Source organism: Homo sapiens, chromosome 1, assembly GCF_000001405.40.
Source record: "Homo sapiens chromosome 1, GRCh38.p14 Primary Assembly".
Lineage (NCBI taxonomy): Eukaryota > Metazoa > Chordata > Mammalia > Primates > Hominidae > Homo > Homo sapiens.
The window spans coordinates 62,335,891-62,353,414 of record NC_000001.11 but is presented as its reverse complement, the minus strand read 5'-3'; the positions used below and the strand labels follow the sequence as shown (position 1 = coordinate 62,353,414).

General features: G+C 48.4%; 2 annotated features.

The window, feature by feature from the left end:
- Positions 1,603-2,103: an enhancer, noted in NCBI's record as "H3K4me1 hESC enhancer chr1:62816983-62817483 (GRCh37/hg19 assembly coordinates)". NCBI's record gives its function as "activates a minimal SCP1, AML or CMV promoter by ChIP-STARR-seq in primed H9 embryonic stem cells {active_cell/tissue: H9 hESC(primed)}" and the evidence as "EXISTENCE:reporter gene assay evidence [ECO:0000049][PMID:30033119]".
- Positions 16,307-16,972: an enhancer, noted in NCBI's record as "H3K4me1 hESC enhancer chr1:62802114-62802779 (GRCh37/hg19 assembly coordinates)". NCBI's record gives its function as "activates a minimal SCP1, AML or CMV promoter by ChIP-STARR-seq in naive H9 embryonic stem cells {active_cell/tissue: H9 hESC(naive)}" and the evidence as "EXISTENCE:reporter gene assay evidence [ECO:0000049][PMID:30033119]".

Genomic DNA, 17,524 nt, shown 5'->3' with positions numbered 1-17,524 from the left:
AAACAAGCTTCCCTTTCCTGCCTTTCCTCCTTTTAGCCTCTTGACTCCCATCCTTCCCCCTCTCCTCTGCCCACGCCAGCAGACCCAAAGACCAGCACAAATGTCACCTCCATGAGGCCTTTCCCCTCTCCTCCAGCCCTGGCTGCCCACCTCCTAGGCAGAATTGCGACTTTGTGCTCTGTGACCCTGCACACTGTCCCTGAAGCTTACTCATCATAAGGTAGTGTGATGCCTCCAGCTTTGTTGTTTTTGCTCAGGATGACTTTGGCCACTCTCCTTTCTTTTCATCATCCTTCAGATAGTTATTAAGGGTTTCCTGTGTGCCAGACCCTGGGCTGGACACTGGGGATATTGATGATAATAAGGAATTTTTTTTCTGTTTTCAAGAAGCTCACAGTGGCCAGGCATGGTGGCTAATGTCTATAATCCCAACAAGGAGGCCCAGGCAGCAGGATTGCTTGAGCCCAGGAGTTCTAGACCAGCCTGGTCAACATAGTGGGATCTTGTCTTTCAAAACAACAACAACAACAAAACCCACAGAAAACAAAACCAACTTAACTAGGTGTGGTGGCATGTGCCTATGGTCCCAACTACTCAGGAGGCTGAGGTGGGAGGATTGCTTGAGCCTGGGAGATCAAAGCTGCAGTGAGCTGTGATCACACCACTGCACTCTAGCTTGGGTGACACCCTATTTCAAAAAAAAAAAGCTCACAGTGTAGAGGGATGTGGTGGGGGAAGGTACAGAATATTGCAATCTAGACACTAAGGCACAAAGTTCCCCTTTCATAGGGCACTTTTCTTTAACTTACAGGCTAACAGTTCTGCTCCTGGCTTCTCTCCCGTTTGTCCACTACAGTAGGTGCCATGCATATTTCCCAGTTGCTCCCGGTTCCTCTGTGGGCCACCCTGTTTACTGAAGTCAGTACTTGAAACTTGGAGTCACGGTCCCTCAATGGAATGAGGCCCCTCCCAACTAGCACCAGGAAGGATTTAGAGAGGCAGGCTTCCTTCTCCGGCTACCTGAGAAGAGGTCCCTAGGCCTCCCCAGACTATCAAAGCAGTCCATGGCACAGAGAGCTTAAGAACCTTGGTCTAGGCTGGGCATGGTGGCTCACATCTGTAATTCCAGCACTTTGGGAGGCCAAGGCAGGTGAATCACTTGAGGTCAGGAATTCGAGACCAGCCTGGCCAACATGGTGAAACCCCGTCTCTACTAAAAATACAAAAATTAGCTGGGCATGGTGGTGTGTGCCTATAATCCCAGCTACTTGGGAGGCTGAGGCAGGAGAATCGCTTGAACCTGGGAGGTGGATGTTGCAGTGGGCTGAGATCACACCACTGCATTCCAGCCTGGGTGACAGAGTGAGACTTCGTCTAAAAAAAAAAACAGAACCTTGGTCTAGCTTCAGGTCAAGGCCACATTCAGGTGACACACCCAGGGTCCTGAAGCTGCTTAGATAGCACAACTGGGACCACAACCACATCTGCCTGTGAATATCACCAGAAGGGACCTCCTCATTCTGAGGGCCTCTCCACAAGGACCACTCTTCTACGCATCCCATCCCTTCGGACACCTGGCAGAACACTTGGCAGGGAAATTCAAATGGGTTCCCTAAAGCGGATCAAGTGCTGCCCAAGTGCAGAGTCGTCTCGGGGGCTAGAGGACAGTGCTCCTTCAGGTGCGGCCCAGAGACCTGTGTGGTCTGAAAACTGTTACTGGTCAAAGAAGCTAAAAGTACAGAAATTGAGAAGAAGGGTTTAGAAATCCTTACAGCAATTTGACTATAATAATAAAATAAAGCTTGCTTTTTATATGTCTGCTTTTTCTTTTAACAAAGACAAAGGCTTATATTTTGCACCTATGTCTTTCATTTTATTTTACAAAATCATCTGTATGCAATGGATTGGAAATTTTTATTTTTTATTTTTATTTTTATTTATTTATTATTTTTTATGAGACGGAGTCTCACTCTGTCGCCCAGGCTGGAGTGCAGAGGCGCGATCTCGGCTCACTGCAAGCTCCGCCTTCCAGGTTCACGCCATTCTCCTGCCTCAGCCTCCCCGGCAGCTGGGACTACAGGTGCACGCCGCCATGCCCGGCTAATTTTTTTTGTATTTTTAGTAGAGACGGGATTTCACCGTGTTAGCCAGGATGGTCTCGATCTCCTGACCTCGTGATCCGCCCGCGCTGGCCTCCCAAAGTGCTGGGATTACAGGCGTGAGCCACCGCACCTGGCGGAAATTTTTGAAATGAAAACTAAACAGCAACAAAAAATACTAGTCTTGGCCGGGCATGGTGGCTCACACCTATAATCCCAGCACTTTGGGAGGTTGAGGTGGATGGATCACTGGAGGTCAGGAGTTTGAGACCAGCCTGGCCAACATGGTGAAACCCCATCTCTACTAAAAATACAAAAATTAGCCAGGTGTGGTGGCCCGCGCCTGTAATCCCAGCTACTCAGGAGGCTGAGGCAAGAGAATCACTTGAGCCTGGGAGGCGAAGGCTGCAGTGAGCCAAGATTGTGCCACTACATTCAAGCCTGGGCAGCAGAGTGAGACTCTGTCTCAGAAAAACAAACAAACAAACAAAACAAAACAAAACACACACACAAAAAACAAAAAGTTACTAGTCTTTCCTACACACGGAGTTTGAGAATCACCATTGATTATGGGGAATACAGTGGACAGAAAGTGGGGGAGAGAGATGGCACAACCGGGCAAATGCTCTGAAAAACGGATAAATAAAATGCTGGTCACAGATGAGAACATCAGTCTAGCAGAGCTTGCGAAGGCAGCAGGGAGGAGAAAACCTCTGAGCTGTGTTTTGCCCAGTGTCCACAGGTAAAGCTATGCCCTCCGTGTATCCCAGGCCATGGGTTCAGCAGGAGCTAAGGCAAGGATTGCAAAGTGCAAGGTAGATCAGAGAAGGTGGGTTGGCAGGCCCAGTGAGGCATTTGCCCGTGTGTGTTTGCATGTTGATGGTTTGGGGCTTTTAGAGTAGGTTGTGAAGAATCACCCATCTATTTTAAGCAGGGAATGAAATGATCACATCTGAGTTTTAAACGATAATATTTGTTGAGTTGAACTAAATTTAAAAAGTTCTCAAGCACTGATTCTCTCAGAGAAGAGAATTTTCCTCTTCCATCAGAATGTGCAAATATCAGAGATGGATTTCCACACCTAGATGAACACGTGCAAGGATGTGTGTGAATGAGGAATGCTCTGGAAAACCAGTTTGCCTCTTTTGTCCTCTCCTTTCCCCTTCCCTTTCCCCTCCTCTTCTCTCCATCTGTGGTAGGCCAAATAATGGCCCCACAAAGATGTCCATATTCTAATCCCTGACACTTGTAAATCCTGCCTTATATGCCAAAAGAGATTTTGCTGATGTGATTAAATTAATTATCTTGAGATTGGGTGGTTATCTTGGATTATCCAGGTGGGCCTGATATGATCACAACAATCCTTATAAGAGAGAACAAGACTGGAGTTAGTTGTAAGAGGTTGGAGCGATAGCAGAGGGGCCATGAACTGAGGAGTGCTGATGGCCTCTAGAAGCTGGAAAAGCAAGGAAATGGACTCCTGGACCTCTGAATGAACCAGCACTGCCAACACCTTGATTCTAGCCCAGGAGAACTGATTTTAGGACTTCTGATATCCAGAACTTTAAGATAATTAATTTGTGATTTTTCAGCCACTAGGATTTTAGTAATTTGCTACAGCAGCAGTAGGAATCTCATAGGTCACCTCCCCTCCCCTCCTCTCTCCTCCCCTACCCTCCTCTCCCCTCCCTTTCTCTCCCCTCCCTCCCTCCCTTCCTCTCCCTTCCCTTCCCCCTCCCCTCCCCACTTCTCCCCTCCCAACCCCTCCCTTCCCCTTCCCCTCCCCACTTCCCCCTCCTCTCCTTTCCCCTTCCCCTCTTCACTTCTCCCCCACAACCCCTCCCTTTCCCTCCCTTTCCCCTTCTCTCCCTTTCCCTCTTCTCCCCTCCCTTCCCCACCCCTCTCTTTCTCTCCCCTCCCCATTTCGCTCCTCCCCACTCCTCTCCTCGCCTCCCCTCCCCTCCCTTCCCCTCCTCTCTCACTTAGCAGTGCCCACTAGTACTTTCTGTAATGATGGAAATGTCCTATATTTGCACTGGTTGCTGCTAGCCACATGTGGCCACTGAGCCCTTGAAATACGGCTACTGTGGCTGAGGAACTGAATTTTAAATTGTGTTTAATTTTAATTTAGACTTAAATAGCTACACGTGGCTATTGAGCATATGGAACAATGCAACAACTTTTACTACAACAAAAACAGGAGGAAAATACAGTTGCCAAGAAGTCTTCAGACAGGATGTCATGGCATATTTTGTTAATGATGGTAGTCAGAATAAAGTAATGATGAAAATGAGTCCTTCTGCTTTAACCCAGCTGTGCATGTCTTAATCTGTGTCCCCAGCCTCTTGGAAAGAGGTCTGGGAGCCAGGAGCCTACAGTTCTCACTTGATTTTGACGTGTTACCTTAGGCAGGTCTCTGCCAGGGGAGGGACAAGAACTAATGACCTTTGAGCATTAGCAAAGTGCCAGGTGTGGGGTGGTAAGCATTTTTACAGATGAGCACATTTGAACAGCACGGCTCTGTGTTCCTACCCAAATCTCATCTTGAATTGTAATCCCCACGTGTCAACGGAGGGACATGGTGGGAAGTGATGGGATCGTGGAGGTGGTTCCCCCCATGCTGTTCTCATGATAGTGAGTGAGTTCTCATGAGATCTGCTGGTTTTATAAGTGTTTAGCAGTTCCTCTTCCTTGTCTGTCTCTTTCCTCTCACCTTGTGAAAAAGGTGCCTGCTTCCCCTTGGCCTTCCGCCATGATTGGATTGTCAGTTTCCTGAAGCCTCCCAGCCATGCAGAACTGTGAGTCAATTAAAACCTCTTTTCTTTATGAATTACCTAGTCTCAAATATTTCTTTTTTTTTTTTTTTTTTGAGACGGAGTTTTGCTCTTGTTGCCCAGACTGGAGTGCAATGGCGTGACCTCAGCTCACTGCAACCTCTGCCTCCCGGGTTCAAGCGATTCTCCTGCCTCAGCCTCCTGAGTAGCTGGAATTACAGGCATGCACCACCATGCCCAGCTACTTTTGTATTTTTAGTAGAGACGGGGTTTCTCCATGTTGGTCAGGCTGGTCTCGAACTGCCGACCTCAGGTGATTTGCCTGCCTCGGCCTCCGGAAGTATTAGGATTACAGGCGTGAGCCACTGTGCCTGGCCTCAGGTATTTCTTTATAGCAGTGTGGAAACGAACTAATACACCACGAAACAGGCATTTATATTACTATGCTACAGGTGAGAAAAGGAGGCTTAGGAAGACCCGAGTGGTGAGGTGTAGGGAAGGTACTCGGAGCCAGTTCTAAGGCCAGAGCCCTTTCCACTGCCCTCTGGGCTTCCCTAAACTCTTCCTCGCCAGTGACACAGGCCTCAGGCTGTCTACCCTCTCAGAGGGTTAGGAGGACCCAATGAAGGAATGACCCTGAAATGTGAACAGGGCGAAGGTGCTGAGTGTGCTCAAGGGAGGGAGGTGACATTTTCTGAAAATCCAAACAGGCACAGTGTTTCAAGATGGTTCTGCACTCTCACTGATATTGAAAATACTTCAAATTTTCCATTTAAGAAATGCCTCAGGCCCGGCCTGTTTCAATCATGTAAAAACCAATATCAGCTTAGAAAGGTTATCATTGCCTTTCCAATTCCAGTCAACATTAAAAATGCAAATGTTTGCTATTTAAATATAGCCTTTGGCTGCCAGCTGAGAGTGTTCAGGACATCAGGTAAACCACAGTGGGCAGCCATCTCCCCAGAGCTCAGCCAGCTCCACAGGAAGGAGGCAGAGGACATCCAGGAAGTCTGTGTCACACCAAGATGATGGCACCACTTCCAGCCCCATGGAGGTCTGGGTCCTCCGAGGCTGGCCAGTTTCAGCCAGCGAGTCAGACATCCATTCATTAGGGGCAGGGACCCTGTTGCCTTTCTTTGTTCTTGTGCCCCTGATAACCTGGCTCAGTGCCTGCTTCAGAGTAAAAGCTCAAAGAATATTTGTTAGATGAATTAATTCATTCGCCATCTGTTTTTGGATATCTTCTCATGTCCTAGGTACTCTGCTGGGCCTTTAAGCTGATACAGAAATGAGCCATTTGGGGAAATCAGTCCTGAGTAATTTACCATCTAAGAAGGATGGTAAGATGTGCAAATAATAGTAATAACATCAAATACTATCCACTTATCCTCACCATAAGTATTATTTGTGGAGGCCTGTCAAACACAGGTGTTTGAAAATGTGCCAGACAGGGAATGCTTGTGTGGCTGGACATCAGGATTCTGGGAAATCTGGGAGCAACTAGGCAGTGAAGCCAGCAAAGAGAGTTTCTGGGAAGAGATACCGAGAACTCTTCCAGGTGGTCTTTGTCCTTGGTGGTCTCCTCCACTCCGACTGTGAGATCCATGAGGCCTGGACTGCGTCTTCTGCAGCTCTGCACCCCAATGCCTCACACGGGGCCTGAAACACCACAGGAAACCAACATAGATGAATAAGTGAATATACATTAGGCATAAAGGCATAATAACACGAAGCATTTATTGAGAGTTTAGTATGAACCAAATATTTCACAGAAATCTGAATTAGTTATGACAGTCAGGAGATAGAGACCACATCGGTTTCTTGCACAAAGTGAATGTCATGTAAAGGATCGCTAAATAGGTATAAAGTGTTAACTAGGTAACTGGGAAAAAAAAACAAGAACTGACTTGGTCTATTTGGGCTGCTACAACAAAATACCATAAACTGGATAGTTCGTAAACAACAGAAATTTCTTTATTACCGTTCTAGAGGTTAGGAAGTCCAAGATGATGGCACCAGCAGATTCGGTGTCTGGTGAGGGTCCTGCTTTTTGGCTCATAGACGGCATCTTCTCCATGTGTCCTCAAACAGTGGAAGGGGCAAGGCAGCTCTCTGAGGTCTTTTATAAGGACACTAATCCTATTCATGAGGGGTCCACCTTCATGACCTAGTCCTCTCCCAAAGGCCCCACTTCTTAATACCACCACTTTGAGGGTTAGGATTTCAACACCTGAATTTTAGGAGGGACACAAACCTTCAGGCTATATTCAGACAAACAAGAACTATAAGGAATAATAGAGACAGCAACAGTAGGAAGCCGCGATCATCCTAGGGATAGGCCTCACTGGGGAAAAGTTAGAATGATGAACATTTAGAGGTTTCACGGGAGGACTCTGAGCTGAAACTCAGAGCCCTGAGGAGGGGATACTGCTAGTCTGGTGCTGATGTCTCTGAGTTGGATGTGCTGAAGCTGGTTCTGCTAGCATTGGAAAAACTGCAAACTGGCTTCAGCTATTGCTATGGGGAAGCCCTGCTGCTGCCAGGGTTAAAAGGCACTGCTGAGGTGCTACTCCTGGAAGGAAAATAGACAAGAAGCCCACAGGACACATACAAGAAGGAGCAAGTCTGTTTTCCCCTCCAATTGCGTGGCTCTCTCTAGCACCCCGACTGGCAGAATTTCAGAGGGAGTCAGCTGGCTGAGTAGAAATGGGGTTTGTAGAGCCCCAGGCCCAGCAGCACAAAGCAGAGTACAGAAGAGTTTGGAGCTGAGACCCCATGACTGCACAACTGGTACAGGAATCTCCCCACCAATGCCATGATGCAGGAATGCACTGCTATTACTCTTATTATGTGATGAGGAAACTGAAGGTCTAGGGAAGTTAAGGTGACTTGCCTAGCAACTTCAAATGGCAGAGCCCTGATGTGAAGCCAGGTCCATCTACTCTTTTTTTTTTTTTTTTTTTTTTTTTTTTTTGAGACTGAGTCTCGCTGTGTTGCCCAGGCTGGCGTGCAGTGGCACGATCTTGGCTCACTGCAAGCTCTGCCTCCCGGGTTCAAGCCATTCTCATGCTTCAGCTCCTGAGTAGCTGGGATTACAGCCGCCCACCACCATGCCCGGCTAATTTTTGTATTTTTAGTAGAGACGGGGTTTCACCATGTTGGCCAGGCTGATCTCGAACTCCTGACCTAAAGTGATCCACCCGCCTTGGCCTCCCAAAATGCTGGGATTACCGGCATGAGCTACCGCGCCCAGCCTCCATCTGCTCTTAACGGCAATGCTCCACCACGTTTCCTTCACATGTTTATATTAACAATATGTCAGGACAGAACAGACTTAAGTCCCAGTGCTGTCAGGTTGGAGCTGAGGTGGGACAAGATGGGTGAGGAATTCAGGCATGGGGCAGTCCTGGTGAAGTCTCCCAACATGCCACTGATCAGCCACCAGCTTTGATCAGCTCTGCTGTGAAGCTGATATTCATATCACTGACCCTGCCAGCCCTATCTGAAAAGATTTTCTCCTTAGAAAGGGACAGAAATAACCTCTTGATTTACTGTCCTTTAAGAAAGTTGAGATCTTTGTTCTTTGACCAAAAATTAGCCACCACCACCAAACTCTTCTCCATGCTTCAAGACACAGTTCAGATGTCACCTCCCTTGAGAAGCCTTCCTGATCTCTAGGGACCCTGTCATGCCGGTACGGGTGCTTGCATAGGATTTGGTGCACACTCCTGGATGGGGCTTCTTTGTCTATAATACTACACTAGATTGTGGGCCCCTTGAGGGTGGGCCTGGGTCTACTTAAGCTCTGCCTGGCACATAGTGGGCACCCAACCTAGCAGTGATTGTAAAGGCTTGTCTCTCCCAGAAGCATGCTTCTGCAGGAGCCCTGGACATCTCAGGACCATATTTTTTTTTTTGACTCATTCTCTAACTTTCAAGTGTTCTCAATCTAGTGGTGAAGACATGTTTAAAAAAAAAAAAACCAGAAAAACAAAAATCTACTGGCACAGGCCTTCATTTCTCCTGTATTCCAACCCATTCTTCACACTTCAGTCAGACACAAACGTAGCCATCTAAAGTTCCTGCTAAAACCTTCCAGGTGCTTCCCATTGCTCCTAGGATGAAGACCAACTCCTCAATGTGATCTCTGAGGTCCTCCAGCATTGGTCCCTGCCCTCCTCCGGCCTGGGGTCTCACCACTCCCCATTCCCCTTCTTCCAGCCTCCGGCTATCCATCCCTCCAGCTACTGAGCCTCCTTCAATTTGCCAAACTCACTCACTTCTTTGCATCCTGGTGTTTGCAAGTGGGGTTTCCTCTTGCCAGGACCCTCTTCTCTTCCTTTGCCTGAGTCCCTCCTACCTGTCAGCTGCTGAGTCACCTTTGGGATGTTATTGGCAAGGTAACTCCATGCTCCCAGAGCAGCCAGTTCCCGAATCCTGGCTCCCATCCACTGAATTGCAACCGCCTGCATTCGGTTAGTTCACACCACTCGATGCCGAGCTCCCAGAAAAGAAAAGGTACAGAGTACCTGTGGCAGGTACTCTGTAAAATCAATTTGAATTAATTAATTTAAAACTTAAACAACAACAGCAACCAAACTAAGAGAGTTCTCTCCACACAATTTTGGAAGTCACAGACTGCCCAAGACATGGTGAAGTAACTTTCTCCCAGTGTCTAGGGACCATTTCAAAAGAGGACCTCCAGATTAGGGGAGAGGGTTCTGGAGGGAAAGTCAGGAGAGCAGAGGTGGAGCCTGGGTGCCCTGGGGGGTAGCCAGTTGTCACAGTGAGTGTTAGCTTCTTCGTCTTTATGATGAGTATAAAAATGCCTGTCTTGGCCGGGCGTGGTGGCTCATGCCTGTAATCCCAGCACTTTGGGAGGCTGAGGCAAGCGGATCACTTGAGGTCAGAAGTTTGAGACCAGCCTGGCCAACGTGGTGAAACCCTATCTCTACTAAAAATACAAAAATTAGCTAGGCTTGGTGACATGCACCTATACTCCCAGCTACTCTCGAGAGGCTGAGGCAGGAGAATCTCTTGAACCCAGGAGGTGGAGGTTGCAGTGAGCTGAGATCACGCCACTGCACTCCAGCCTGGGTAACAGAGCGAGAGTCTGTCTCAAAAAAAAAAAAAAAAAAAGGCCGTCTTTCCTGATACACAGGGGTGTGATGGCATGGCACGTGCACATGTGCAAATCCTGTGCAAACTGTGAACAGCTGTACAAATGTCAGGTACAATAATTTTCACTGCCATCATCTTCAGGAGTCAGTCCAGGCCACAGCTTTGCCAGCTTTCTTCATAGCAGCCCAAACCCAGGCCTTAAGATTTTCACCTTCTTTTCCCCCTAGAACTAGGCCCCAGCTCCCTGCAGAGAAGATACATCAAAGCCCCACATGAGGATTTTTATAGCTCCACATTGGACAAGCTTCCTCTTCCTGAGATAGAGCCTACAGGGAAGGTGGGGAAGCTAACCTAAACTTCCTGCTTCCCAGACACCTTCCCCACGCCTGACTCCAGTGAGGGGAAGCCTGTGGCTGCTCCTGCCTTTGTTCACTTTACTTATGGTCCTCTGCCCACTGTCTCTCCCTGGGATTTTCTTATTGTTCTTCATGGACAACCAAGAGCCAGAGAGACTCATCAGGTAATAAAAAGGACCCAACACACCCTCATCACTCCAGTTTCTCAAAGCAATAAACCAAAGGACAGAGTTTGTGGAACATGATTGGGCCACAGGAATAAGATCGCCTTGAAATTGACTCCTTAAAAAGGCAAAAGACATCCATTGCATAAACATTAATTAACCTATTTATGTCAGGTAGTTAACATGTTCTATATCACTTAAATATTGTATCAACTTTCTTCATTTTATAAATAAGAAAGAAAATCGAGGCTATTAGTTAGATTAATAAATGGATGGGTCGATGGATGGATGGATGGGTGAATGGGTGGATGGATAGGTGGATATCTGGATGGGTGGATGGGTGAATGGGTGGATGGATAGGTGGATATGTAGATGGATGAATGGATGGATGGATGAATAGATCTGTGGGTGAGTGGATGAATGCATGGGTGGCTAAGTGGTTGGGTGGGTGGAAGAGCAAATGGGTAGATAGATATGTGGAGGATACATGTATGGATAAATGGATGTGTGGATGCGTGGATGGATGGATGGATGGATGGATGGATGGATGGATGGATGGGTAGATGGATGTGTAGATGGATGGGTGGGTAGATGGATGGAGAAGCTCCTTGCCAGAGTCAAAAGGAAGTGGCTCCATCTCCCTAAAAAGGCAAAGCTGCCATGTCACATGCGGTTTCGTATTGAGGCCCCTCATGGAAAAGGTTGTGCATGTCACTGGGCAAGTGTAAGATAAGGCCATCATCTGGCAAAGCTGTTCTCTAGAGTAGCAGAGTCACCCATTTTAGACTGAAGATTGTGGAAAGAATCTTTCACTTTTTTAGTTGCAGTTTTAGAAGAATTTGCATCTTGGCACCACCATTTATTTACTGTGTAAGCATGGACAAGTTAGCAAACACCTCTGTGCTCAGTGTCCTCATTTGTAAAATGGAGAACTATCCAACTTTGTATTGTTATAAGCTTTAAATGATGTCGCTCAGATAGAAGATGTTAAATATGTCAGTTTTCTCCTCTCTCTCCCCTAGGCAATGCAAAAATCATTGCAGAGATGAGCCAAGGATTGTTAGAATTTTCCCTTAAGGGGGAAAAACCAGATGTAGCTGAGTTGCTCAGTAGCAGGCTTCACTATACTCCTCTGGGGTTGAGAAAAGAATCGTTTCCCTCCGGAATCGTATTCTCAAAAAGGAAATGAATTTTCCCCTCAGAAGGAAATGGGAGAAGATTCCTTTTCTTGGTGACCTCTGAACCATGGCACCATTTCAGTGGCATCTGAGAGACTCAGGTCCAGACCACCCAGGGTTTGTTCTTTCAAATGAGAGGGTGGAAGACATGAAGGAGAGCAGGGGCAGAAATGGATAAGAGGCTGAAGACCCAGAACATCCAGCAGGCCAGGTTTTCTTTTCCTGATTTCCCCTAAGGAGGAAGGATACAGGAGGAAAAGATTTTTCCTAGATTGCTTCAGGATAGGAGAGAGAGCAAGCATGTGTCATATGTGTTTGTGTGTGAGGAGTATGGAAGTGGGGTGGGGTATGCGTGTGTGGGACTGTGTGAAAATGGGAGTGAGCCTCTGGGTGGGTAGATGTGGGTAGGTATATGGGAATGGGAGGTGGCGGAGAGTGTGGGAGGGGAGTTTGGAAAGTTGTGGGTGTAAGTCTGTGTCACATTGCATCGCACTGAGAGGATGGGCCTCTCTAAATGCATAAAACCACACATATCTAAGCACTCTGAATAAACTCTTCTTCACTGGAAATGTGTAAGTAAGTTTATTTTTCACTCATTCATATTCCCATCATGGGGAAACAAAAAATTAAAGTGTCTTGAGGAAATTGCAATCTGTGTAGAGAAGGTGAGACACAGGTGAATTCAATAAAAATGAGTACATTTGCCATGTGCCAGGTGCTGTTTTAAGCACTTTATGTGTATTACCTGATTAACCGCTCACAACAGTTTTACACGAAAGGTGCTATTGTGACTCCCATTTCACAGATGAGGAACCTGAGGCTTGGAGGAACTGGCTGCTGTGGTCTGAAGGTGTCCCTCCAAAATTCATATGTTGAAACGTAATCACCAATATGATAGTATTAAGAGGTGAGTGAGAGGGCTAGGCATGGTGGCTCACACCTGTAATCCCAGCACTTTGGGAGGCCAAGGCAGGAGGATCACTTGAGGTCAGGAGTTTGAGACCAGCCTGGTCAATATGGTGACATCCCATCTCTACTAAAATTATCAAAATTAGCTGGGCATGGTGGTGGGCACCTGTAATCTCAGCTACTCAAGAGGCTGAGGCATTAGAGTCACTTGAACCCGGGAGGCAGAGGTTGCAGTGAGCCGAATTGCACCACTGCACTCTAGCCTGGGCGAAAGAGTGAGACTCCGTCTCAAAAAAAAAAAAAAAAAAAAGAGGTGAGTGAGGCCCTTAGGAGTGGAGCCCTCATTAATAGAAGAATTAAGGTCCTTATAAAAGAGGAGGCTTAAGGAGCTGTTGGCCCCTTCCGCCATGTGAGAAGGCAGCAAGAGGTGCCATCTTGGAAGCAGACAGCAGCCCTCACCAGACACGGAATCTGCCAGCACCTTGATCTTGGACTTCTCAGTCTCCAGAACTGGGAGAAATACATTTTTGTTATTTATAAATTCCCCAGCTTCAGAATTTTTTTTGTCTTTTAGTTTTCGGTTTTTTGTTTGTTTCATTTTTGAGATGAGGTCTTACTCTGTCACCCAGGCTGGAGCAGAGTGGCACAATCATAGCTCACTATAACCTTGAACTCCTGAGCTCAAGCCATCCTCCCACCTCAGCCTCCCAAGCAGCTGGGACTACAGGCATGCACCACTATGCCCAGCTAATTTTTAAATTTTTGGTGGAGACAAGGTCTCACCTGCTATGTTGCCCAGGCTGGTCTCAAACTCCTGGGCTCAAGCAATCCTCCAGCCTTGGCCTCCTACAGTGCTGGGATTATAGATGTGAGCCACTGCTCCTGGCCAGGTACTTGGTGATAGCAGCAAAAATGGACTAAGACACTGGTCCAAGGTCAAATAGCTTGTGACTGGTGGAGCTGGGATTCCAGTGCAGGCAGTGTGGCTCCTGAAAATGTGTCCCTAAGTATAACATCAAGTCTGAACCATCTGTCCCCAGTTGACATCCAAAGGATGGGTTCATGTCCCTTATAAAGGACTGGCTGCCAGAGAGCAATCAACCCAGTAAGATGCATAGTGCACCTCTGAAGTCCTAACCCACTGCCCTAGGTCCAGTGCTGTCAGCATCCCATTTCTTCATCCATCCTCATCCTATGTCTCCTACCCTGTTTCTACTTCTCATGTGACCCCCAAGACCAGGCAGAGATGGGGTACAGGAAGGAGACATGTGTAAACTTAAAGGCCACTCTCCCTCCCCACTCATCACCTTCCCAGCAGCCCTGGGGCTGGGGCACTGGTCGCATGCTATTCTTCACCCCGAGGGTCTCCCTCCGGCTCCTCCTGGGAGGCAATGATCATGACAGCTGCTGCAGTGAGATGGCTGGGCCTCACACACGCAGCCAAATCTGACTTCAGTTCTCAGGGTCGTAATATTAATAGCATCTCCATCCATACACCTCTCATCAGGGACCAGAATAGGCTCTGGTGCTTTAGGTGCATTACCTCATTCAGTTTAATTCCCACAATGACCCCATGCGGAAAGATGATCCCCCATTTACAGATAAGAAAACCAAGGCTCAGAGAAGCCAAACAGCCCAGTTGGAGAGGGGTCCCTGGCATGAGAGGACAGGCTTGTCTGCCCCCGGGCCACTGGCCGTACTGCCATGTTGTTTGGTCTCTCCCTCTCACACTAGGTTGTATGTAGAGCAAAAAGCTGGTCCTATTTCCACCACCAGGTGGGGGAGACTGGGTGGGTGGGCGCCCCATGTTAAGTACCTTCACCCCTGAGAGCCAGACTTTCTGGGGAGGCCCACCCAAGTCTACGGCCCAAGAGACCAAGGAGTCTGTGGGGAAATAACTTCTCCCAGGGGAATCAAGTCAAGTGCGGTCACCCCCAGGCCCAGGCAAGGGAAGTCCTGCTGTCCCCCCCTTAACTTTGCCCCTGCATCCCCAGTCCTGGCCTCACAGGCATTTGTGCTGGATCCTGGGCGTAGTGGCCTTCGAGCAAAAACTAGGCATTCCGGCCCCTAAGCCATCGGGGCCCGAGTATTAAAATCCTATTTAATAGGGGGTGAGGCCCACAAACAGGGAGAAGAGCTCTCCCTGTGGCTATTCCTTGAATCATGGCAGGGCTTGGGTATGCTGAGGCCGTCGGCAGAGGCGACTCTGGGGCCGGGAGATAGAGTGACCGCTGCTAAAATCCAAGTGTCAAAGGTCGTGGGGCCAGCAGTATTTGCGGTGGGAGGCAGTCGGCTGCAGACTGGACTCACCCCTGAGTCACCACTGGGGGCTCCCAGGGACAGATTTGGGGCAAGGAGAGGAGTCTGAAAGAGATGGGGTACGCCGTAGTGAAAGCTGGAGTGAGAGCCTTCGTATTGTAAGTTGTTCTAGCAGTTAAAACAGTTATTTATAAAGGACCCAAAAGACTGTGTTCCTGCCTCAGGCCAGCAGAGGCTTTAGAAGCACAGTACAAATGTTGGCCATTGTCCCTTCTAAAAGGAACAATTCAACAAACAGCCTCGGCTGAAAGGAGGGGACATTCCTCAGCTGTGTTTTGTCCCACTCAACTCTGGCTGTCCGTGGACAGCCAACTGAGGCTGGCCAGCAACCTATGACCTGTGGCCCAGCACGAAAAGGGAGCCGGGCCAATCAGATTCCTGCCTCAGGAATTTGAACCAAGAAATGCTGAGACATGCAGTCTGTCCGCTGCGGGACTGGAGGCCACAGGAACTCCTCGGAAGATTCCAGATGGTGGAGCTAGAGCTGGGGGGCCTATGAGGAAGAGAGAGATGGGGGAAGCAGAGAACTGGCTAGTAGAAGCCTTACAGTGAGAAGTCAGACTGGGAAAGGCAGGAGAAAGGCAGTGACACAGACAGAAGCCATGATGTCAGGCTGAGGCGCCTCTGCCCCTGCCCCAGGCTCTCCCTCCCTCCCTCCCTTTCTCTTTGGGTGACTGAGTGTCTGATGACACAGGAGGGGAGGGGAGCCGGGCAGTGACCACTCCCACAAAATGGTTCTGGGGTGAAGGGGACCTGGTCGTCAGCCCATGATGGCTTTTTCAGTTATGACAAGGACACCAAAGAGCCAAGTGAGCAAGAAAGGGAGAGCCCAGCGGTGATGAGCAGCCGCCTCCCACCACTGCCCAGGCAAAGCAAGAAGTTGGCTTCGAAGGCCTGGGCAGCATCTAAACCGTGCCTCAGGAGGGCAGGCACGGTGGGGAGTGGTGACTTGCAACCCTCTCAATTCCCAGCTTCCCTTTCTAACTGTGAGAACTTGGAGAAGAATGAACTCTCCCCTGTCTTTGTTTTCACATCTATAAGGAAGGAGGGAATAAGAATAGACCCTCCTTCCTTAGGCTGTGGGAGTGTCCAGGAGTGTCAGTGCGGAGCCTGGGAGAGGCAACGCCTGGCCCTGGGGAAATCCTCCTTTCAGCCACAGAAATTCTGCTTTTGAGCTCCTCCAAGAAGGGCAAGAGCAGGCATAAGAGGTTGAGGAATCTCTTCCCCTACAGAATTTCCTGCCCGAAATGACCAGTGTGGGCCTGTCCATCGACAAGAGCACGCCCCTCTGTCTGTTGCCCTTGGGGACTCTGTGGGGAAGGAGGCTTTCAGATTCACCCTGGCTGCAGATCAGCCTTACTTAGCCAGGCTTATTAATAGGAGAATGTCCATTTCTGTCTTAAAATAGCCATAGAAAGTTATTTAAAGTGAGCTGCAGTTGGGTGGTCAGATGGCTTGTTACTGTCTTCCTCCCAGGAGAGTTCAAGAACTCTCTCATATTTTCCTGTTTCATTTATAGTAAAACAGTCCTAACAGGAAGGTCCATCACTCTGTGTAACTTCCCGAGTCAAGGATGCCCAGGCTGTCGGCGGGGTCTCAGCGTCAAGTGCCACCCTCATCCACTACCCACCACCCGCTCTACAGTGCCCTCGGCAGGCAGGCAGCCATCCAACCTTGGCCCGGCTCCTCCAGGTGTAGGGGCCTCCAGGCTCCCAGGGGAGGAGCCTGGGGGAAGAGAACTGGACTTGGGAAACAAGGACGCTGGCCTAGAAAGAGTCACTCAAGACCCATCTAACTCCTGCTTTTTCCTCTGTTCTGAATATCTTAAGAGAGACCCTGCAGAACAGAAAACCAAAGATCGCATGTTCTTACTTCTAAGCAGGAACTAAATCATGAGAACACACAGACACGTAGAAGGGAATGACACACACTGGGGCCTATTGGAGGAGTGGAGGATGGGAGGAGGAGAGGATCAGGAAAAATAACTAATGAGTACTACGCCTAATACCTGGGTAATGAAATAATCTGTACAACAAACCCCTGTGACACAATTTACCCATGTAACAAACATGCACATGTACCCCTGAACTTAAAATAAAAGTTTAAAAAAAAAATAGTGACCCTACCTAGAGCAAGGGTCTTGTAACAGAAAAGGCCCTTCCCCTTGGCCAGGCTCTGTGACTCGTGCCTGAGGCAGGTGGATTACCTGAGGTCAGGAGTTCGAGACCAGCCTGGCCAATATGCTGAAATTCCGTCTCTACTAAAAATACAAAAATTAGCTGGGTGTGGTGGCGTGTGCCTATAGTCCCGTCTACTCAGGAGGTTGAGGTGGGAGAATCACCTGAACCCTGGAGGCGAAGGTTGCAGTGAGCTGAGATCACGCCATTGCACTCCAGCACGAGTGACAGAGCAGGACTCTGTCTCAAAAAAAAATAAAAAGGCCCTTCCCCAACATCAAATCTTGTCCTCCCCCAGCCTTTCTATACCATTCCTTTCCCTCCTTGGATTTCTTTCTCACTCCAGGTTCAAAACCTATTTAGCTATGACAATCTGGAACCCTCCATCCATTGTGAACACACTTCCCTTTTCCTCCAGATCATCATC